Source organism: Homo sapiens, chromosome 22 (assembly GCF_000001405.40).
Source record: "Homo sapiens chromosome 22, GRCh38.p14 Primary Assembly".
In the NCBI taxonomy this organism is placed as follows: domain Eukaryota; kingdom Metazoa; phylum Chordata; class Mammalia; order Primates; family Hominidae; genus Homo; species Homo sapiens.
In genome coordinates this window covers 24,189,540-24,211,856 of record NC_000022.11, presented here as the reverse complement: position 1 = coordinate 24,211,856, position 22,317 = coordinate 24,189,540, and the positions used below count along the sequence as shown (strand labels likewise).

At 47.3% G+C, this 22,317-nt stretch overlaps 5 annotated features.

Annotated features, from left to right (window-relative positions):
* Positions 5,599-6,567: an enhancer, noted in NCBI's record as "H3K27ac-H3K4me1 hESC enhancer chr22:24601258-24602226 (GRCh37/hg19 assembly coordinates)". NCBI's record gives its function as "activates a minimal SCP1, AML or CMV promoter by ChIP-STARR-seq in naive and primed H9 embryonic stem cells {active_cell/tissue: H9 hESC(naive and primed)}" and the evidence as "EXISTENCE:reporter gene assay evidence [ECO:0000049][PMID:30033119]".
* Positions 13,498-13,617: an enhancer, noted in NCBI's record as "active region_18765". NCBI's record gives its function as "activates an Ori minimal core promoter by ATAC-STARR-seq in GM12878 lymphoblastoid cells {active_cell/tissue: GM12878}" and the evidence as "EXISTENCE:reporter gene assay evidence [ECO:0000049][PMID:35858748]".
* Positions 13,748-13,797: an enhancer, noted in NCBI's record as "active region_18764". NCBI's record gives its function as "activates an Ori minimal core promoter by ATAC-STARR-seq in GM12878 lymphoblastoid cells {active_cell/tissue: GM12878}" and the evidence as "EXISTENCE:reporter gene assay evidence [ECO:0000049][PMID:35858748]".
* Positions 15,869-16,069: a silencer, noted in NCBI's record as "peak4472 fragment used in MPRA reporter construct". NCBI's record gives its function as "represses an SCP1 promoter by STARR-seq MPRAs in K562 erythroleukemia cells {active_cell/tissue: K562}" and the evidence as "EXISTENCE:reporter gene assay evidence [ECO:0000049][PMID:32103011]".
* Positions 21,643-22,284: an enhancer, noted in NCBI's record as "H3K4me1 hESC enhancer chr22:24585541-24586182 (GRCh37/hg19 assembly coordinates)". NCBI's record gives its function as "activates a minimal SCP1, AML or CMV promoter by ChIP-STARR-seq in naive H9 embryonic stem cells {active_cell/tissue: H9 hESC(naive)}" and the evidence as "EXISTENCE:reporter gene assay evidence [ECO:0000049][PMID:30033119]".

Genomic DNA, 22,317 nt, shown 5'->3' with positions numbered 1-22,317 from the left:
TGTTTTGTGTGGGGAAAAGCAAGAGAGATCAGATTGTCACTGTGTCTGTGTAGAAAGAAGTAGACATGGGAGACTCCATTTTGTTATGTACTAAGAAAAATTCTTCTGCCTTGAGATTCTGTGACCTTACCCCCAACCCCGTGCTCTCTGAAACATGTGCTGTGTCAAACTCAGGGTTAAATGGATTAAGGGCGGTGCAAGATGTGCTTTGTTAAACAGATGCTTGAAGGCAGCACGCTCCTTAAGAGTCATCACCACTCCCTAATCTCAAGTACCCAGGGACACAAAAACTGCGGAAGGCCGCAGGGACCTCTGCCTAGGAAAGCCAGGTATTGTCCAAGGTTTCTCCCCATGTGACAGTCTGAAATATGGCCTTGTGGGAAGGGAAAGACCTGACCATCCCCCAGCCCGACACCCGTAAAGGGTCTGTGCTGAGGAGGATTAGTATAAGAGGAAGGCATGCCTCTTTGCAGTTGAGACAAGAGGAAGGCATCTGTCTCCTGCCCGTCCCTGGGCAATGGAATGTCTCGGTATAAAACCCGATTGTACGTTCCATCTACTGAGATAGGGAAAAACCGCCTTAGGGCTGGAGGTGGGACCTGCGGGCAGCAATACCGCTTTGTAAAGCATTAAGATGTTTATGTGTATGCATATCTAAAAGCACAGCACTTAATCCTTTACCTTGTCTATGATGCAAAGACCTTTGTTCACGTGTTTGTCTGCTGACCCTCTCCCCACAATTGTCTTGTGACCTTAACACATCCCCCTCTCGGAGAAACACCCACGAATGATCAATAAATACTAAGAGAACTCAGAGGCTGGCGGGATCCTCCATATGCTGAACGCTGGTTCCCCGGGTCCCCTTATTTCTCTATACTTTGTCTCTGTGTCTTTTTCTTTTCCAAGTCTCTCGTTCCACCTTACGAGAAACACCCACAAGTGTGGAGGGGCAACCCACCCCTTCAGTTTTGTTTTTGCTTTTTTTGAGACTGAGTTCTGCTCTTGTTGCCCAGGCTGGAGTGCAGTGGTGCGATCTCGGCTCATTGCAACCTCCACCTCCCGGGTTCAAGCGATTCTCCTACCTCGGCCACCCGAGTAGCTGGGATTACAGGCATGCGCCACCATGCCCAGCTAATTTTGTATTTTTAGTAGAGACAGGGTTTTACCATGTTGGTCAGGCTGGTCTCGAACTCCTGACCTCAGGTGATCCGCCCACCCTGGCCTTCCAAAGTGCTGGGATTACAGGCATGAGTCACCACGCCCAGCCTTTGCCTCAGCTTCTTGAGTAGCTGAAACTACAGGCACACATCACCATGCCCAGCTAATATTTTGTAGAGATGGCGTTTCACCATGTTGCCTAGGCTGATCTTCAATCCTGAGCTCAAATGATCCTCCCACCTTGGCCTCTCAAAGCGTTAGGATTATAGGTGTGAGCCACCGTGCCCAGCACATTAACACACATTTGTTTTTGTTGTTGTGTGTGTTTTTTTTTTTTTGAGATTGAGTTTCGCTCTTGTCCCCTAAGCTGGCGTGCAATGGTGCAATCTTGACTCCCTGCAGCCTCCGCCTCCCGGGTTCAAGTAACTCTCCTGCCTCAGCCTCCCAAGTAGCTGGGATTACAGGTGCCTTCCATCATGTCCAGCTAATTATTATATTTTTAGTAGAGACGGAGTTTCACCATGTTGGCCAGACTGGTCTCGAACTTCTGACCTCAGGTGATCCACCTGCCTTGGCCTCCCAAAGTGCTGGGATTACAGGCGTGAGACACTGCACCCAGCCATTAACACACATTCTTGATAAAAACAAACAGATTTAAAAAAAAAAAAAACACTGAATAAAATGGGAATGGATGGATACGCCTTTGTGAGGACAAAAGTGACTGTATCTTAAATGCTAATTCACCATATAACTTCTAACTAACCCTGAGTCTGGGAATGCCTCCAAAATGTGTAGTTGATGTATTTTACTCATTATGCAGAAACACCTAATCACTGTACATTTCCTCCAAAATCACCCTCGATGCTGTTGCAGAAATCACAGGCTGTGACAACTGTGGCCACTTACACATTCCTAACAGGGTACATATATTTTCCCCAAGATACAAGTCCTGGGTCTGGGGATTTGCCGTGTGCACGATTACTTGTCTTGTGGCTGCCCAAGACCATGCTTCTGTCTGTAAGTTTCCCGTAATGAATTGTGCCACACCAACAAACTTGATTTGTCGGCCTCCTTCTTTGGTTTCTTGGCTCCTTCAGCATGTGGGGGTCTCTTTGCACATATGGTCCTTTCACAGAACTTCCCTTAACCCGAATATATATCTTAATACAACAGAAACGGCATGAGTTGGGCTGGGTGCTATTCTATTCCTTTACATGCGTTAATTTATGTAATTCTCTCCAGAAGGGGAGCTGTGATTATACCAGTTTTATAGATGGGGAGACTAAAGTACTAACGTTCCAAATGTAAAAATTAGCTGGGCATGGTGGTGGGCGCCTGTAATCCCAGCTGCTTGGGAGGCTGAGGTGGGAGAATCACTTGAACCTGGGAGGTGGAGGTTGCAGTGAGTCGAGGTTGTGCCACTGCACTCCAGAGCAAGATTCTGTCTCAAAACAAACAAACAAACCAAAATGAAACCATATGAATATCACAAGAACACATGGGCAAATTTTGTTTATGTTCTTAGAGTGGGGCAGGCCTTTTTAGGCATGTCATAAAACCAAAAAGCCATAAAAGAAAAAAGCTAATAAATATGAACATGTAAAAATTAAAAATTTAAATTTAGTTTAATTTTTATTTTTATTTAAATATTAAAAGTTTTTTTGAGATGGAGTCTCACTCTGTTGCTCAGGCTGGAGTGCAGTGGCACAATCTCAGCTCACTGGAATCTCCGCCTCCCGGGTTCAAGCGATTCTCCTGCCTCAGCCTCCCAAGTAGTTGGGATTACAGGCGTCCACCACCACATCCGGCTAATTTTTGTATTTTTAGTAGAGGCAGGGTTTCACCATCTTGGTCAGGCTGGTCTCGAACTCCTGACCTCAGGTGATCCACCTGCCTCAGCCCCACAAAGTGTTGGGATTACAGGTGTGAGCCACCGCCCCCAGCCAAAAATTTTTGATTTAAAAATAATTTTAAAAATAGAGATGGGGTTTTGCCATGTTGCTCAGGCTGGTCTCAAACTCCTGGATTGAAGCAATCCACCCACCTAAGCCTTTCAAAGTGCTGGGATCTCAGGTGTGAGCCACTGTGCCCAGCCTTCACTGGTCTTTTCAGAATTTTTTTTTTTTTACATAAAGCTGAACACAATGGTTCCCACCTGTGATCTCAGCACTTTGGGTGCCTCAGGTAGGTGGATCACTTGAGCCCAGGAGTTTGAGACCAGCCTGAGCAACACAGTAAGATCTCATCTCTATTATCAACAACAACAACAACAACAACAAAAGACCAGTGAAAAACCTGGAGAAAAACAGTTTCAATACATGATGTGGGGCTGGTTTTTGAAATATTTAAATACTTAAATATTTAATATTAGAGACCAAGTATCCAGTAGAAATATGAACAGGGATGTGACTCATTGTTTGCAGAAAGAAAACTACAAATGGCTGTTTCAACAGACAAAAAGTTCTCAAGCCTACTCATAAATAAACATTGCCAATTCAAACAACAGTGAGATCCCACAGGGCCAGAGGAAGTGACTCCGAGCCCAGAACTTCCTCAGTGAATTCTTTGAAACCCTGATGAAAGAAAAAATACCAGTCTTACACAAACTTCCAGAGAACAGAAAAGAGGAAAGGTTGCTCAACGTCTTTGAAGAAGCTAGCATAACCTTGAAAGCAAAACCTGGCCAAAAAAATGTCAAGAAGGAAAAGTCTAGGGCTATTTGATTCATGAACAGAGATGCATAGCCCTTAAAACATGAAGAAACCAGGGCTTGAAAGGAAAAAATATGCGTCACCACCAATTTAGGTTTGTTCCAGGAATGCAAGATTGGCTGAACATTAGAAAATGAAGCCTCACACCTGTAATTCCAGCACTTTAGGAGGCTGAAGCCTATGGATCGCTTGAGCCCAGAAGTTCGAGACCAGCCGAGCCAACATGGTAAAACCCTGTCTCTATCAGAAAATGCAAAAATTAGCTGGGCATGGTGGCATGCGCCTGTAGTCCCAGCTACTCGGGAGGCTGAGGTTGGGGGATCACTTGAGCCTGGGAGGTGGAAAGCTATAGTGAGCCATGATCACACCACTGCCCCCGAGCCTGGATGACAGGGCCTGACCCTGTCACAAAACAAAAAGAAAAGAAAAAAGAAAATCAAGCAACACAATTCACCACACTCACAGAATAAAGAAGAAAAGTCACTCACCATCTCAGTAGATGCAGAAAAGCATTTGATAAAATTTGCCAACATTCAGTTACAATAAAAACTCTCAGCAACTAGGAATGAAAGGAAACTTCCTTAATCTGATAAATCGTGGCTACAAAAACCTACAGTAAATGTCATGCTTAAAGGTACAACATAAAAAGCCTCCCTTTTGAGATTGAAACCAAGCTAAGAATTATTTCATTATTTCCTTCCAGTATTACAGGGGAAGTTTTAGCCAATGTAATAAGGTGAGAAAAACAAAAGCCATAAAGGTTGGAAAGGAGGACATAAGACTGTCATTGACAGAGCAGGAGCATTGCCATCTTGGACAAGCACCATCATTTTAAAGTTCACCTTGATCAAAAACTGCCTAAATCCAAAGGGCATCAGCCTAATGGCTAAGGTCAGCATGACCATAAACCACAAATAACATCTCCAACCAGAAACATTCTAAAGCCCTCCCTGACCAGAGACATGCCAGCCCCGAGATAACCTCCCCTCCGGCCAGAGAGACATTAGCCCCAAGATAACCTCCCCTGGGACCAGAGACATTCCAACCCCCCCATAAACTTCTCCCCCACACAGAAACATTCCAAGCTTGTGATAAGCCCTCTAACCCTAAAAAACCAATAAATACTATTAGTATTAAAGACCAAGTATCCAGTAGAAATATGCACAGGGATGTGATTCACTGTTCACAGAAAGAAAACTACAAATGACTGTTTGTAAGAGAGAGTGCCCCTGACTGAAATCAGCCAGAAGCCCCTCTGGAGAATAAACCTGTCTTTGACTGTTGAGCCACTTTTCATGTTTCCTTCCTCTTTCTTTAACTCTTACAGTCATTATCTGTAGATACTCAAGAAACGGTTAGAAATAGGTGAATTGGGCCGGGCGCGGTGGCTCAGGCCTGTAATCCCAGCACTTTGGGAGGCCGAGACGGGTGGATCACAAGGTCAGGAGATCGAGACGATCCTGGCTAACACGGTGAAACTCCGTCTCTACTAAAAATACAAAAAATTAGCCGGGTGCGGTGGCAGGCGCCTGTAGTCCCAGCTACTCAGGAGGCTGAGGCAGGAGAATGGTGTTAACCCAGGAGGCGGAGCTTGCAGTGAGCCGAGATCGCGCCACTGCACTCCAGCCTGGGAGACACAGCCAGACTCCGTCTCAAAAAAAATAAAAAAATAAATAAATAAATAAAAATAAAATAAAATAAAGAAATAGGTGAATTGAGCAAGGTCATTGTAATACAGAAGTTATTAAAAATAATTTTTAGACAAATAATAAAGGTAAAGGTTCTCGGTAAAAATTTTCCTGTAATAAAAAACAACCCCCAAACCATCTCTTTTCTAACAAAAAAGGCAGCTCGAAGGGCGGGGCCAGCAAGCTTTAATATGCAAATGTCGGCCTTTAAAAACTGGGTTCACCCAATATGGCAATTCCCACCATCATCTCCTTGTCACCAGGTATCCCAAGTGTCATGGCCACCTCCAGATAACATCATGTGTTCAAAACATTGCAATCTGCATTTGCATATTAAAGGACTAAAGTAAAAGGGCCAGGTTTTTCACTGGCTGGGTAAATAACACACCTGGTCAAACCAATCCCCTGGGCCTTATGCAGATCAAACACCAACTCCTCCAGCATCCCAATAAAAGCAACCACTTTTCTGACTCACATGGGGTTTCTCTTTATTCAAATCCCCCTGCTCTGTCTCTGTAAGGGGAAGCTGTTTTCTTCTTCCTTCTTTCTTGCCTATTAAACATTTTGCTCCTTAAAACCACTCCACCAGCCTGACCAACATAGTGAAACCCCGTCTGTACTAAAAATACACATATTAGCCAGGTGTGGCAGCACATGTCTGTAATCCCAGCTACTCAGGAGGCTGAGCCAAGAGAACTGCTTGAAACTGGGAGGCGGAGGTTGCAGTGAGCTGAGATGGTGCCATCGCACTCCAGCCTGGGCAACAAGAGTGAAACTCCGTCTCAAAAAAATAAAAAGCTAAAAACAAACAAAAAACCATTCCACATGTGTCGGTGTCATTAATCCTATCAGTACAAAACCAAAACCCTGGTGTTCCTCCAGTCATCAAAGCCGCATCAATTGGAATCAAGGAATATATGCAAAAATCAATGTTATTTCTACGTACCAGCCATAAACAAAAAAACCTTTTTTGAAGTAAAATCGCTTGTAGTAGTGTGAATCAAAAAGCATCTGAAACAGGTCTCAATCAACTTAAGAGTTTATTTTGCCAAGGTTAAGGACAATGCCCAGGAGGGGAAAAAAAATGGAATCACAGAAGCAGCCTATGGTCTGTGCCTTTCCCCAAAGGTGACTTTGAGGGCTTCAAAATTTAAAAAAGAAGAGTGAGGTGAGAAGATTGCTTGAGCCCAGGAGTTCAAGACCAGCCTGAGGAACATCGTGAAACCCCATCTCTACAAAAAAATACAAAAATTGGCCAGATATGGTGGTGCATGCCTGCAGTCCCTGCTACTCAGCAGGCTGAAGCACAAGGATCGATTGAGCCCAGGAGGTCCAGGCTACTGTGAGCCATGATTGCCCCACTGTACTCCACCCTGGGTGACAGAGCAAGACCCAGTGTCTCTCTCTCTCTCTCCCTCTCTCTCTCTCCTTCTTTCTCTCTCTCTCTCTATATATATAGCTCAATTCACCTATTTCTAACAGTTTCTCGAGTATCTACAGATAATGACTATAACAGTTAAAGAAAGAGGAAGGAAACATGAAAAGTGGCTCAACAGTTAAAGACAGGTTTATTCTAGAGAATAAACCTGAGAGGGGCTTCTGGCTGATTTCAGTTGGGCGCTCTTTCTTACAAACAGCCATATATATATATATATATATATAGAGAGAGAGAGAGAGAGAGAGAGAGAGAGAGAAAGAAAGCACAAAGGAGCAGGTAGGGGAAGAGTAAATTACGTATTCCTCTTGCATTACCAGAAAGAGGTCCCAATCCAGACCCCAAAGAAGGTTCTTGGATCTCCAGCAAGAAAGAATTCAGGGCAAGTCCATAGTAAGTTGATTAAGACAGTAAAGGAATAAAAGAATGGCTACTCCATAGACAGAGCAGTGTGGAGGGCAGCTGGTTGCCCATTTTTATGGTTATTTTTTATTATATGTGAAACAAGGGATAGATTATTTATGCCTCCCCTTTTTAGACCACATAGGTTAACTTCCTGACATTGCCACAGCATTTGTAAACTGTCATGGCGCCAGTGAGAGTGTAGTACTGAGGAAGACCTGAGGTCACTCTCGTTGCCATCTTGGTTTTGGTGGGTTTTAGCTGGCTTCTTTACTGCAACCTGTTTTATCAGCAAGGTCTTTATGACGTGTATCTTGTGCCGACCTCCTATCTCATCCTGTGACTAAGAATGACTTGACCTCTTGGGAATGCAGCCCAGTAGGTCTCATCCTCATTTTACCCAGCCCCTATTCAAGATGGAGTTGCTCTGGTTCACACGCCTCTGATACTTGTGCTCAGTAAATCAGTAAATCAGCACTTTACACAAGATTAGGTGAACATCGAGTGGAGATATTGAACTCAAGATAAGGTGAACATAGACTGGAGGTATTGAACCTTTTTTTTTTTTTTTTTTTTGAGACAGTCTCACTCCTTCACCCAGGCTGGAGAGCAGTGGTGCTATCTTGGCTCACTGCATCCTCTGCCTCCTGGGTTCAAGCGATTCTCCTACCTTAGCCTCCCGAGTAGCTGGGATTACAGGAACATGCCACCACTCCTGGCTAATTTTTGTATTTTCAGTAGAGATGGGGTTTCACCATATTGGCCAGGCTGGTCTCGAACCCCTGAACTCAGATATGCCCACCTCTGCCTCCCAAAGTGCCGGGATCACAGCCGTGTGCCATGCACCCAGTCAGATTTGGGCATTGTTGTTGTTGGTGGTGGTGGTGTTTTGAGACACTCTGTCACCCAGGCTGGAGTGCAGTGGCACAATTTTGGCTCACAGCAACCTCCACCTCCTGGGTTCAAGTGATTCTCCTGCCTCAGCCTCCCAAGTAGCTGGGATTACAGGCGCCTACCACCACGCCTGGCTACTTTTTTTTGTATTTTTAGTCGAGATGGGATTTCACCATGTTCGCCAGGCTGGTCTCGAACCCCTGACCTCAGGTAATCAACCCACCTTGGCCTCTCAAAGTGCTGGGATTACAGGCGTGAGCCAGCGCGCCCAGCTGAGCCTGGAACCTTTTATCTGTAGCTATCTGCTTAGGAACAAAGGGAAAGGTAGCTGCTTGCATGGCTCAGCATTCAACTTAATTTTTTTTTGGTATAGTGAACTGGGGTCCTGAGTTTTTATTTTCCTTTCACAATAGCATAAAAAAGTTAAAAACCTAGATGTAAAACTAACAAAGATATGCAAGACTTCTGCACTGACCACTGCAAAGCATAATTGAGAGAAATTAAGGAAAACCTAAATAAACAGAGGGTATACTCCATTTCTCGCCACATTCATACCCTGATTTGCAACCGGCAAAAGGGTCCGCTGCTTACTTGTAAAAAGAAGCCCATGTAACAAGAGTGAGGTGTGATAAGAAGAGAGAGTGAGATGTGATTATCCATGCTAGCAAGGGAGGAGTGAGTGTAATTCTTTCCAAAAATTTACACTCTTCAGTTTGTGGAGAGAATGCAGGTGTTTCTGTTTGTTTTTTGAGAGGGAGTCTCGCTCTGTCACCCAGGCCGGAGTGCAGTAGCACGATTTCTGCTCATTGCAAGCTCTGCCTCCTGGGTTCATGCCATTCCACTGCCTCAGCCTCCTGAGTAGCTGGGACTACAGGTGCCCGCCACCAAGCCTGGCTAATTTTTTTTTTTTTTTTTTCTGTATTTTCAGTAGAGACGGGGTTTCACCGTGTTAGCCAGGATGGTCTCGATCTCCTGGCCTCGTGATCCACCTCGGCCTCCCAAAATGCTAGGATTACAGGCGTGAGCCACCGCGCCTGGCCCCGAATGCGGGGGTATTTTAAGAGAGGATTTGGAATGCAGAAAAGGCAGAGGGGCTGGGAGGTATCAGGTGGCGTGACTCACTCCAATGGCTTGTCTTGAATTATTGTTTCATCTGGTGAAAGGGCCGGTGCCGTCATGGCTAGAGGTGTCTGGTCCGTATCAGGATCTGGCCTCTGAAGCTTCTAAGGAAATATATGACCAGATAAGTGAGTGTGGTGTGTTCTTAGCAAGCGGCTAGGTAAGTAAATAGTGCATAAGGCATGGGGGCATAGAATGGGAAAAGAGGCCAGGTGCGGTGGATCATGCCTGTAATCCCAGCACTTTGGAAGGCCAAGGTGTTGCAGGCTGCACATCTGAAGCCTGTTAACAATACTGTGATCAATCAAGGAGCTGACCAATCATTACCTCCTCCTCCCAGCTCTTTCTACCCAATAAAAGTGAAGGACTCTAGAAGCTCAGGGCTGCCTTTGCCTACTAGAAGCAAGGAGCCCCCGACTCCCTCTTTAAAAAATCCTTTTGTATTTGTTTTCATTTCTATGTTCATCCCCCTTCGTTCATTCCCGTAGTAACCATCACACCAAGGCGGCTAGAACAGTTAAGAACAGGAGTTTGAGACCAGCCTGGCCAACATGGCGAAACCCCGCCTCTACAAAAAATTAGTTGGGCGTGGTGACGTGAGCCTGTAATCCCAGCTACTCAAGAGGCTGAGGCAGGAGGATCGCTTGAGCCCGGGAGGTGGAGGTTGCAGTGAACAGAGATCATGCCACCGCACTCCAGACTAGGTGACAAAGTGAGACTCTCTATCCAAAAAAAAAAAAAACCGGGAAAAGAAAGGGAGAGGAGGTTCACATTCTGAACATTCCAAGGTAGAAACACATCTGCACTTTGTTTCAAAGTTACACCTTAAGATTGGGAAAAAAGGAGGAAAGAAAACAAAGTTGTTTTTGGGTTTTTTTTTTTGTTTTGTTTTGTTTTTGAGACAGAGTCTTGCTCTGTCACCCAGGCTGGAGTGCAGTGGCGCAATCTCAGGTCACTGCAACCTCCGCCTCCCAGGTTCAAGTGATTCTCCTGCCTCAGCCTCCAAAGTAACTGGGATTACAGGCGCCCACCACCACACTAGGCTAATTTTTGTATTTTTTGTAGAGATGGGGTTTCACCATGTTGGCCAGGCTGGTCTCAAACTCCTGACCTCAAGTAATGCGCCCACCTTGGCCTCCCAAAGTGCCGGGATCACAGGCGTGAGCCACTGTCCCTACTGGAAAACAAAGCTTTAAAATGCAATTTGAAGCCATGCTGCTGGGTTACAGATTCAATGCAAATCTAATCAAAATCCTAACAGTTCGTTTTTTTAAATCAGCAAGCTGATTGTAAATTTCATCTGAAAATGTCAAGGACCAGAACTAGCCCAGGAAATCCTGAGGAAGAGGGCATTCTAATGGTGAACTCATACTACAAGAACAAACTCAAACTACAAACTCATACTACAACTCATACTACTCAAACTCCTAAACATACTCAAACTCATACTACAAGAACATACTCAAGAACAAACTATGGTAATGAAGACAATTTGGTATCGGTGCAAAGATGAACAAACTGGCCAGTGGAATGGGACAGAGGGTCACCTGACTTCTGACAGAGGGGACATACCAGTGCAGTGGGGAAGGAATGCGGCTTCGGTGTGTGGAGCTGAGTCATTTGGCTATCCATAGGAAAAAAGCGTACCTTGAGCCAACCTCACACCACCCACAAAAATCTATTCTATTTGGTTTGCTAATCTAATTATAAAATATTAAGCAATTTGCCGGGCACAGTGGTTCATGCCTATAATCCCAACTGCTTGGGAGGCTGAGGTGGGTGGATCACTTGAGCCAAGGAGTTCGAAACCAGCTTGGGCAACATAGTGAGACCCCATCTCTAAAAATAAATAAACAAATAATCAAATAAAATATTAAGCAGTGTTTACAGAAAGAAAGAGAATATCTTTGTGACTTTAGAGTAGGCAAATGCTTCTCTTTGTTTTTTTTTATTTTGTTGCATACCAAAAATTTTTCTTAAACAGGACACAAAAAGTACTAATTATAGAAGAAAAAATTAATAAATCAGACTATATGAAAATTAAGAAATTCTGTTCAACAAAAGACATCACTGAAACAGTGAAAAGGCAACTCTCAGAATGGGTGAATATCTGCAGCTGACAACGAACTCTTATCCAAAAACTCCTACAAATCAATTAGAAAAATCCAGCCAATAGAAAATGGGCAAAAGACTTGAATAGATGTCTCACAAAAGAGGAGGTCTAGGTGGCCAATGAACGTCTGAAAGGGTGCACAACTTCACTGGCTCAGCCTTGTAAGAAAAGCTCAAATTAATTCAATAACGTGCTATCATTGCACACCCATCAGAATGGCTAAAATGAAAGAGACCAGCCAGGCGTGGTGGCTCACACCTGTCATCCCAGCACTTTGGGAGGCCGAGGCGAGCAGATCACCTGAGGCCAGCAGTTCCTGACCAGCCTGACCAACATGGCGAAACCTCATCTCTACTAAAAATACAAAAATTAGCCGGGCGTGATGGCACGCGCCTGTAATCCTAGCTACTCAGGAGGCCGAGGCAAGAGAATCATTTGAACCTGGGAAGCGGAAGTTGCAGTGAGCCGAGATCATGCCATGGCACTCCAGCCTGGGCAGCAAGAGTAAAACTCTGTCTCAGAAAAAAAAAAAAAAAAAAAGAAAAAGACCAACAATAACAAATGTTGGAAAGAATCTGGCACAACAGAACTCTCACATGCTGTTGGTGCAAATGTCAATTGTAAAACCACTTTGAAAAACTGGCATTTGGGGTTGGGCACAGTGGCTTACGCCTGTAATCCCAGCACTTTGGGAGGCCAAGACGGGCGGATCACCTGAGGTCAGGAGTTCCGAGACCAGCCTGGCCAACATGGTGAAACCCCATCTCTACTAAAAATACAAAAAATAGCTGGGCATGGTGGTGGGCACCTGTAATCCTAGCTACTTAGGAGGCTGAGATGGGAGAATTGCTTGAACCCAGGAGGCAGAGGTTGCAGTGAGCTGAGATTGCACCATTGCACTCCAGCCTGGCCGACCAGCGAAACTCCATCTCAAAAAAAAAAAAAAGAAAGAAAGGAAAAACTGGCATTTTCAGCTGGGCACGGTGGCTCCTGCCTGTAATCCCAGCACTTTGGGAAGCTGAGGTGGATGGATCACTTGAAGTCAGGAGTTCAAGACCAGCCTGACCAACATGGTGAAACCCCGTCTCTACTAAAAATACAAAAATCAGCCGGGCATGGTGGCACATGCCTGTAATCCCAGCTACTCGGGAGGCTGAGGCAGGAGAATCGCTTGAACCCAGGAGGTGGAGGTTGCAGTGAGCTGAGATGGTGCCACTGCACTCCAGCCTGGGCAAGAAGAGCGAAACTCCGTCTCAAAAAAAAAAAAAAAAAGAAAGAAAGAAAAACTGGCATTTTCTTTTTCTTTCTTTTTTTTTTTTTTAAAGACAGGGTCCCACTCTGTCACCCAGGGTGGAATGCAGTGTTGTGATCACTGCTCACTGCAGCTTTGACATCCCAGGCTAAATCAATCCTCCCACCCTGCCTCCTAGAGTAGCTGGAACTGCAGGCGTGCACCAGTGTGCCTGGCTATTTATTTATTTAGAGACAGAGTCTGGCTCTGTTACCCAGGCTGGAGTACAGTGGTGCAATCTCAGCTCACCAAAACCTCCAGTGGGTTCAAGCGATTCTCCTGCCTCAGCTTCCCGAGTAGCTGGGACTACAGGCGTCGCCACCATGCCCAGCTAATATTTTTAGTAGAGTCGGGATTTCACCATGTTGGTCATGCTGGTCTCAAACTCCTGACCTCAGGTGATCCACCCGCCTCAGCCTCCCAAAGTGCTGGGATTACAGGCATGTGCCACTGCGCCGAGCTAATTTTGTATTTTCAGTAGAGACGGGGTCTTACTATGTTGGCCAGGCTGGTCTGAAACTCCTGGCCTCAAGTGATCCTCCTACCTCAGCCCCCCAAATAGCTGGGACTACGAGTGTGAGCCACCACGAGTGGTCCTATCTTGTTGCCATGGGTGACAAGGGTTTCCTGAAAAGCTGAGACCTTTTGTCACACATCTGGCCCAGGAGTCGGCACAGTTGAAGGCAGATCCAAGGGAAGGCAGAACAGTTGCAGGCCTGGGCTCTGCCTGTGGCCGTGACTGGAGAGCGAGCTAAGAAAATGACTTAAGTTTCACTTCTGCCAAATCTTGCATGGGAATCTCTTGTGGCTCACCCTAACCAGAAACACGCAGGAGGGAGTTCTGGGAAACGTCACACCACCCAGCAACATGGTGAAGGCTCTGTCTATCTGGCAAAGAGCAAAAAAGGTGAAGGCTCCAAACGCCAGTGACTGCATGGGGACCCAGGCTCTGTTGTAGGTTGGTGGCGGCGTCAACTGGTACAACTCTAGATAGAAAATGCTTGTGCCATTTAACCAGCCAATCTACTTCTGTGAATTTCTCCTCCAGGTTAATCTGAACTTATTTACACAGTACAAGTGTTTAAAGAAGCAAAAGGCTGAGCACAGCTTCAATGTCCCCTAGCCAGCAGCTAGTTCCCTGAATTGTTTAGATTTTTTTTCACCTTGCACACACACTTTATTTTCCACACTAATGAAAAAGGTAAGACCATATTTTTATACCTATGCCTCTGGTGTATTGTTACAGGGACTGTCGACCTAAAGAAAGACACTGGCTGGGTGCAGTGGCTCATGCCAGTAATCCCAGCACTTTGGGAGGCTGAGGTGGGCGGATCACCTGAGGTCAGGAGTTCAAGACCAGCATGACCAATATGATGAAATCCCATCTCTACTAAAAATACAAAAATTAGCCAGGCGTGGTGGCACGCTCCTGTAATCCCAGCTACTTGGAAGGCCCAGGCTGGAGTGCAGTGGCGCGATCTCGGCTCATTTCAAGGTCTGCCTCCTGGGTTCACGCTGTTCTCCTGCCTCAGCCTCCCGAGTAGCTGGGACTACAGGCACCCACCACCACGCCTGGCTAATTTTTTGTATTTTTAGTAGAGACGGGGTTTCACCGTGTTAGCCAGGATGGTCTCGATCTCCCGACCTCGTGATCCACCCGCCTCGGCCTCCCAAAGTGCTGGGATTACAGGTGTGAGCCACCGCGCCCGGCCCAGAATTTTTAAAGATAATTTGGCGGGTAGGAGCTTGGGAAGTGGGGAGTGCTGATTGGTCAGGTTGGAGGTGGAATCACAGGGGGTTGAAGTGAGTTTTTCTTTTTCTTTTTTTTTTCGAGATGGAGTTTCACTCTTGTTGCCCAGGCTGGAGTGCAATGGCGCAATCTCGGCTTACTGCAACCTCCACATCCCGGGTTCAAGCGTTCTTCTGCCTCAGCCTCCTAAGTAGCTGGGATTACAGGCATGCACCACCACATCTGGCTAATTTTTGTATTTTTAGTAGAGACAAGGTTTCTCCATGTTGGTCAGGCTGGTCTCGAACTCCTGACCTCAGGTGATCCGCCTGCCTCAGCCTCCCAAAGTGCTGGGATTACAGGCGTGAGCCACCGTGCCCAGCCCGCAGTGAGTTTTTAGTTGTTGTTTTTTTTTTTTTTTTTTTTTTTTTTTTTTGCTGTCTTCTGTTCCTGGCTGCGATGGCACAACTGGTTGAACCAGATTAGCAGTCTGGGTGGTGTCAGCTGATCCATGGAGTGCAGGGACTGCCAAATATCTCCAGCACTGATCTTAAGTTTTACAACAGTGATGTTATTCCCAGGAGCAATTTGGGGAGGTTCAGACTCTTGGAGCCAGAGGCAGCATGACCCCTAAACTGTAATTTTTAATCTTGTTAGTCCTGCAAATGCGGACTGGTCCCTAGGCAAGAAGGGGGTCTTTTCAGGAAAGGGCTGTTACCAATTTTGTTTCAGAGTCAAACCATGAACTGAGTTCCTTCCCAAAGTTAGTTCAGCCTACACCCAGGAATGAAGAAGAACAGCTTAAAGGTTAGAAGCAAGATGGAGTCGGTTACCTCTGATTTCTTTCACTGTCATAATTTCCTTGGTTATACTTTTGCAAATGCAGTTTCAATAACATGTGTTAGTGATTGGCTATACTTTTTTTTTTTTTTTTTTTTAGAGATGAGATCTTGCTCTGTTGCCTGGGCTGGAGTGCAGTGGTGCCATCACGGCTCACTGCAGTCTCAACCTCCAGGGCTCCAATGATCCTCTTGCCTCAGTCTCCCGAGTAGCTGGGACTACAGGTGCATGCTGCCATGGCTAAATGTGTGTGTGTGTGTGTGTGTGTGTATGTGTGTGTAGACAGGCTCCACTATGTTGCCCAGACTGGTCTCGAACTCCTGGCCTCAAGTGATCCTCTTGCCTCAGCCTCCCAAAGTGCTAGGATTACAGATGTGAGCCACTGCTCCTTGCCTGGCTGGTTACTGTTGAACTATAGAGTATGAGTTATTGCTGGGGATCAGAAACTGATACCCCAAAATATAGCACTGAACTGAAGAAGAAGCCACAAGGTCTCTATGACCTCTCCCTGCCTCTGTGTCAATCTGTCAGCCAGAGCTCAGGATGAAGTTGTTCTCTGAAGTTCTCTATCTGCCTGAAGTCTGGACCTGCCAAAGAAGAAAACAATGAGCTCTGGTCCCTCCTGTGAGTCTTCCTTAACTGAACTCTTATCACAGGAAGAAAGACTGAAATCTGTCAGCACACCTGGACAGACTTGTCACAATCTACTGTTTGCTCTTCAGGCCCAACAGACTTTGTCCCAGGGCATTGTATGGTTTCCTTGTTTGTTTTATTGTATTTAATTTTATTTTTTGAGATGGAGTTTCACTCTGTCGCCCAGGCTGGAGTGCAGTTGTGCAATCTCGACTCACTGCAACCTCTGCCTCCCGGGTTCAAGTGATTATCCTGCCTCAGCCTCCCGAGTAGCTGGGATTATAGGCGCTCGCCACCACGCCCAGATAATTTTTGTATTTTTAGTAGAGATGGGGTTTCACCATATTGGCCAGGATGGTCTCGATCTCTGGATCTCATAATCTGCCTGCCTCGCCCTCCTGAAGTGCTGGGATTATAGGCATGAGCCACGTGGCCCAGCCCATTGTATGTTTTTTTTTTTTTTTTTTAATTATACTTTAAGTTTTAGGGTACATGTGCACAATGTGCAGGTTAGTTACATATGTATACATGTGCCATGCTGGTGCGCTGCACCCACTAACTTGTCACCTAGCATTAGGTATATCTCCCAATGCTATCCCTCTCCCCTCCCGCCACCCCACAACAGTCACCAGAGTGTGATGTTCCCCTTCCTGTGTCCATGTGTTCTCATTGTTCAATTCCCACCTATGAGTGAGAATATGCGGTGTTTGGTTTTTTGTTCTTGCGATAGTTTACTGAGAATGATGATTTCCAATTTCATCCATGTCCCTACAAAGGACATGAACTCATCATTTTTTATGGCTGCATAGTATTCCATGGTGTATATGTGCCACATTTTCTTAATCCAGTCTATCATTGTTGGACATTTGGGTTGGTTCCAAGTCTTTGCTATTGTGAATAATGCCGCAATAAACATACGTGTGCATGTGTCTTTATAGCAGCATGATTTATAGTCCTTTGGGTATATACCCAGTAATGGGATGGCTGGGTCAAATGGTATTTCTAGTTCTAGATCCCTGAGGAATCGCCACACTGACTTCCACAGTGGTTGAACTAGTTCACAGTCCCACCAACAGTGTAAAAGTGTTCCTATTTCTCCACATCCTCTCCAGCACCTGTTATTTCCTGACTTTTTAATGATCGCCATTCTAACTGGTGTGAGATGGTATCTCATTGTGGTTTTGATTTGCATTTCTCTGATGGCCAGTGATGATGAGCATTTTTTCATGTGTTTTTTGGCTGCATAAATGTCTTCTTTTGAGAAGTGTCTGTTCATGTCCTTCGCCCACTTTTTGATGGGGTTGTTTGTTTTTTTCTTGTAAATTTGTTTGAGTTCATTGTAGATTCTGGATATTAGCCCTTTGTCAGATGAGTAGGTTGTGAAAATTTTCTCCCATTTTGTAGGTTGCCTGTTCACTCTGATGGTAGTTTCTTTTGCTGTGCAGAAGCTCTTTAATTAGATCCCATTTGTCAATTTTGGCTTTTGTTGCCATTGCTTTTGGTGTTTTAGACATGAAGTCCTTGCCCGTGCCTATGTCCTGAATGGTATTGCCTAGGTTTTCTTCTAGGGTTTTTATGGTTTTAGGTCGAACGTTTTAAGTCTTTAATCCATCTTGAATTGATTTTTGTATAAGGTGTAAGGAAGGCATCCAGTTTCAGCTTTCTACATATGGCTAGCCAGTTTTCCCAGCACCATTTATTAAATAGGGAATCCTTTCCCCATTGCTTTTCTCAGGTTTGTCAAAGATCAGATAGTTGTAGACATGTGGCGTTATTCTGAGGGCTCTGTTCGCTATCTATGACAAACCCACAGCCAATATCATACTGAATGGGCAAAAACTGGAAGCATTCCCTTTGAAAACTGGCACAAGACAGGGATGCCCTCTCTCACCACTCCTATTCAACATAAAGTTGGAAGTTCTGGCCAGGGCAATTAGGCAGGAGAAGGAAATAAAGGGTATTCAATTAGGAAAAGAGGAAGTCAAATTGTCCCTATTTGCAGATGACATGATTGTATATCTAGAAAACCCCATTGTCTCAGCCCAAAATCTCCTTAAGCTGATAAGCAACTTCAGCAAAGTCTCAGGATACAAAATCAATGTACAAAAATCACAAGCATTCTTATACACCAACAACAGACAAACAGAGAGCCAAATCATGAGTGAACTCCCATTCATAATTGCTTCAAAGAGAATAAAATACCTAGGAATCCAACTTACAAGGGATGTGAAGGACCTCTTCAAGGAGAACTACAAACCACTGCTCAAGGAAATAAAAGAGGATACAAACAAATGGAAGAACATTCCATGCTCATGGGTAGGAAGAATCAATATCATGAAAATGGCCATACTGCCCAAGGTAATTTACAGATTCAATGCCATCCCCATCAAGCTACCAATGACTTTCTTCACAGAATTGGAAAAAACTACTTTAAAGTTCATATGGAACCAAAAAAGAGCCCGCATCGCCAAGTCAATCCTAAGCCAAAAGAACAAAGCTGGAGGCGTCACACTACCTGACTTCAAACTATACTACAAGGCTACAGTAACCAAAACAGCATGGTACTGGTACCAAAACAGAGATATAGATCAATGGAACAGAACAGAGCCATTGTATGTTCTTTAAGCCCATTAAATCTTCCCCACCCAGGCCAGGGGCAGTGGCTCATGTCTGTAATCCCAGCACTTTGGGAGGCCAAGGCACAAGGATCATCTGAGGTCAAGAGTTCAAGACCAGCCTGGCCAACATGGTGAAACCCCATCTCTACTAAAAATACAAAAATTAGCTGGGTGTGGTGGTGGGCGCCTGTGGTCCCAGCTACTAGGGAGGCTGAGGCAGGAAAATAGCTTGAACCTGGGAGGCGGAGGTTGCAGTGACCTGAGATTGCACCACTGCACTTCAGCCTAGGGACAGACGGAGACTCTGTCTCAAAAAAAGAAAAAAAAAAAAAATCCTCCCCACCCCAAATCATGCACTGTCCTCTTGAAATCATCCACACTCCCTATCTCCTGCTAGCCCTGGGGTGATCAAGTGCCTGCTGTGGCCCATCGGGAGACGCCTCTCCTCAGGGTCCAGTGCTGCCGAGGAGGAGGGAGTGGCCAGTGTAGTGCGTTGTAGGAGTGGGAAGTCAGGGGGGGCTTCCTGGAGGAGTCTGGCTCCAGCTGAGTATCAAAGGAGAGATTCCCATCGCCCTTTCCCCTAAGAAGCAGGGTATATCAGCATCTTTATCCCACTGGGATATTCGGCAATGACTCTGTGATTCTCCCCCAACGCATGCTAATAACTTGGTACACCTTGTTTTCCAATTAATCTGCCTTTTGTGAGTTGATTTTTCCTTGAACTTTCAGAGGGTAAAGGGGAAGTTTTCCCTTGGCCCCTACATTATGGTGTCCAGCATATGACATTTTATGGCTACTTGACATCGGTTAGTCTAGAACCCACCTAGCAAGTGGCGTCAAGGTGGGAGTGAGGCGTGACTGCTGTGACACCCCATCACATTTCAGTGCCTCTCTGGGCCTGATAATTAAAGGGGGCTCTCGTTCCTCAGATAAAAATTTCTTTTTGGCCGGGCACAGTGGATCATGCCTGTAATCCCAGCACTTAGGGAGGCCGAGGCAGGAGGATTGCTTGACCCCAGGAGTTCAAGACCAGCCTGAGCGTGCCTGTGGCCCCAGCTACTTGTGAGGCTGAGGCAGGAGGATCACCTCAGCCTGGGAGGTTGAGGCGGCAATGAGCTATGATCGCACCACTGCACTCCAGCCTGGGTGACAGAGTGAGACCCTGTCTCACAGAAGAAAAGTTTCTTTCCCATCTCAGCACCAACTAACTGCTTCAACAAATGGTCCCTGAAACATATTAAGGCTTAATCACAAAAGAAGTTTATTTCCTGGTCCTGGAAGAGTAGTGGGTGGGTGATCAGGTCAGCAGGGACTTGGTTGGCATGACTTCCAAAGTCAGTCATCCTCACATCCTTGCAACAAAGGGAGCTGGTGAAAGCCTGAAGGGGTGCCTGTGGGAAGCCGCACTCCTCCACGATGCCTCCTTGACTTCCCACTCCTACAGTGCGCTGCACCGACCCCCCCGCCTCCTCCTTGGCAGCATTGGACCCTGAGGACAGGGGTGTCCTGATGGGCCTAGCAGAGGTCTGGCCCACAGCAGGCACTCGGCCACCCTGGGGCTTGCAGAAGGAAGCAGCTTGGCAGAAGAAGGGGTCCCTTGCTCCCCAGCTGTGCCTGTACTGTACTGTACCGAGTCAGAGCCCTCCCTGGCCCCCAGATCAGCCGCACCCACTGTGCTCAGCCAACAGGAGACCTAGTGGGAGGCTGGAGGGCAGGGGGCACAGAGAAGCCGGGCTTCCCTACTCTAGCCAGCAGGGGACCTGCAGCTGGGCTGTCACCTCTGTGACTCCCCTTGGCCCACAGGCCTGCGTGACGCCCGCTTCCATGGGATCTGGGCCTGGCTCCCATAGCACATTCCTTCCTCCCTTTGCCCTTCTGCCCAAGGTGGGTCTTAGGATCCTGCTGGTACCTCATCGGCTCCTGTTTGACCCCCCCAGCTCTCTCATCACCTGTGTCTCCAAAGCCCTGGATTACCATCTGCCCCACTCTGACTGGTACCACCACGATGGTACCGGCCATTGGGTGACTCTGATACTCCATCATTTCAACCCTACTGTAAGCCACCCGCAAGCTCCCATGGCTGCCCGTCCTGCAAGCCCTGGGCTGCTATTTGGGAGACCATCTCCCTGAGGCAGCGGTCCCTGCCTTTGATGTCTCTAGAGAGTCTGCACCGGCTCCAGGCCTTCTGCCTTTGCACAGGCCCTGTCTCTATCTCTTTCGGGCCCCAGGAAAAGCCCCTGGCAGGTGGTGGGGCTTCCCAGCCTGGCCTGCCCCTGGCACTGGGAACATCTGATGTCTGGGACTGGGGCCACAGACAGGGCACCCTTTCTCCTGCTGGAAAGGGGAGGTGGGGGGGCAGACCAAGGGCCCATCCTGGAGGGAGACTGGTGGGGGTGGGGGAGCCCGAGGCAGGCCACACTTTGCTCTTAGGATGAAATCTAAATGCCTTGGCCTGGCAGGGGAGGCCTTGGCTGGCCCCCACCCCTGTCATTCCGCAGACATGACTGCACTTCTCTTTCTCTGAGCCTTTGCATAGACTGCTCCTCTACCCAGAACCCCTGTCCATCTGGAACCCCTGTCCAACCAATCAGAGCTCTGAGAATCCAACCTGTTTCTTGACCTCAGTTCGGGGGCTGCTCTTGTCTGGGACACCCTCTAGTGGACCTGATGAGCTGCCAAGCTGCCCCTGCCGCTCTTGGGCCCCCTGAAAACCTGTGCCCGCTCCCTCATGTCCAGGCCTTGACCCGGAAACTGACCTCTCACCCACTGACACGTGGCCGGCCCAGGCCTGGCGTGGCACAGGGGTGCGCTGGGGATTCAGACAGTGGGAGGGGAGCCCTGCCTTACCTCATCTGTAGGGAGGAAAGTACCTGCCCAGCCCGCCAAGGGGCTGACCCTCAGCCCCACCATGCCTGGAGGTGCAAACCCAGGGGAATGGGGAAGCAACGGAGTGAGCTCTAGAAAGAGAGAAGGCCAGACCCCATTCCCCTCCGCTAGCCTCCCGCCACCCCTGCCCTGCAACCCTCAGCTCGGTTCCCGCACACGTGCCCCATCATGCACATTCACCTCCTCCAGGAAGGCCTCAGATGAGACATGTCTCTGCCTCCCCAGCTCTCCCATTCACCAAGGGCAAGGCTGAGCAGGTGAGAGGCCTGGACTCCCACCCCATGGTCAGTGCCCGCTGAATGACCTGGGGAGACCTGTGCAACCTCTTCAACACTCCTGAGATGCGGGGATGACCCAGGTGCGGGGAGGCGGAGGGGTGGGCTGTGCGCAGACCTTGGCTGCGGTTGTGACCAAGTCGGCTGACCCAGCTGCAGGGCAGGGCTGACTGCCCTCCCAACCTCCTGCCACCCAGACTCGCTGTTCCTATCCTCTGCTGCCCCTATATGGCCACTCCCAGCGCTGCAGGTCACACTGAGGCGGCTCAACTCCCCACCCAGTGTTCTCTACCTGGCCCCCAACTTCCAGCCTCACCCTCTCCAGCACTTTCTCTGAGACCTAAGGGGCAAACCCGACCAATGCTACCCTGCCTGAGTCCCCATTCGGGACCCTCTCCACAAAGGTTGATGGACCCTGGTCATCCTCCAGCTGCTTCCAGGTCTGTGCCTCCATGCCAGGCCCCACAGGAAGCGCCGACAAAGAGCTGCTCAGGTGGGCCACCGTGGCCTGAGGCCTGGGCTCTG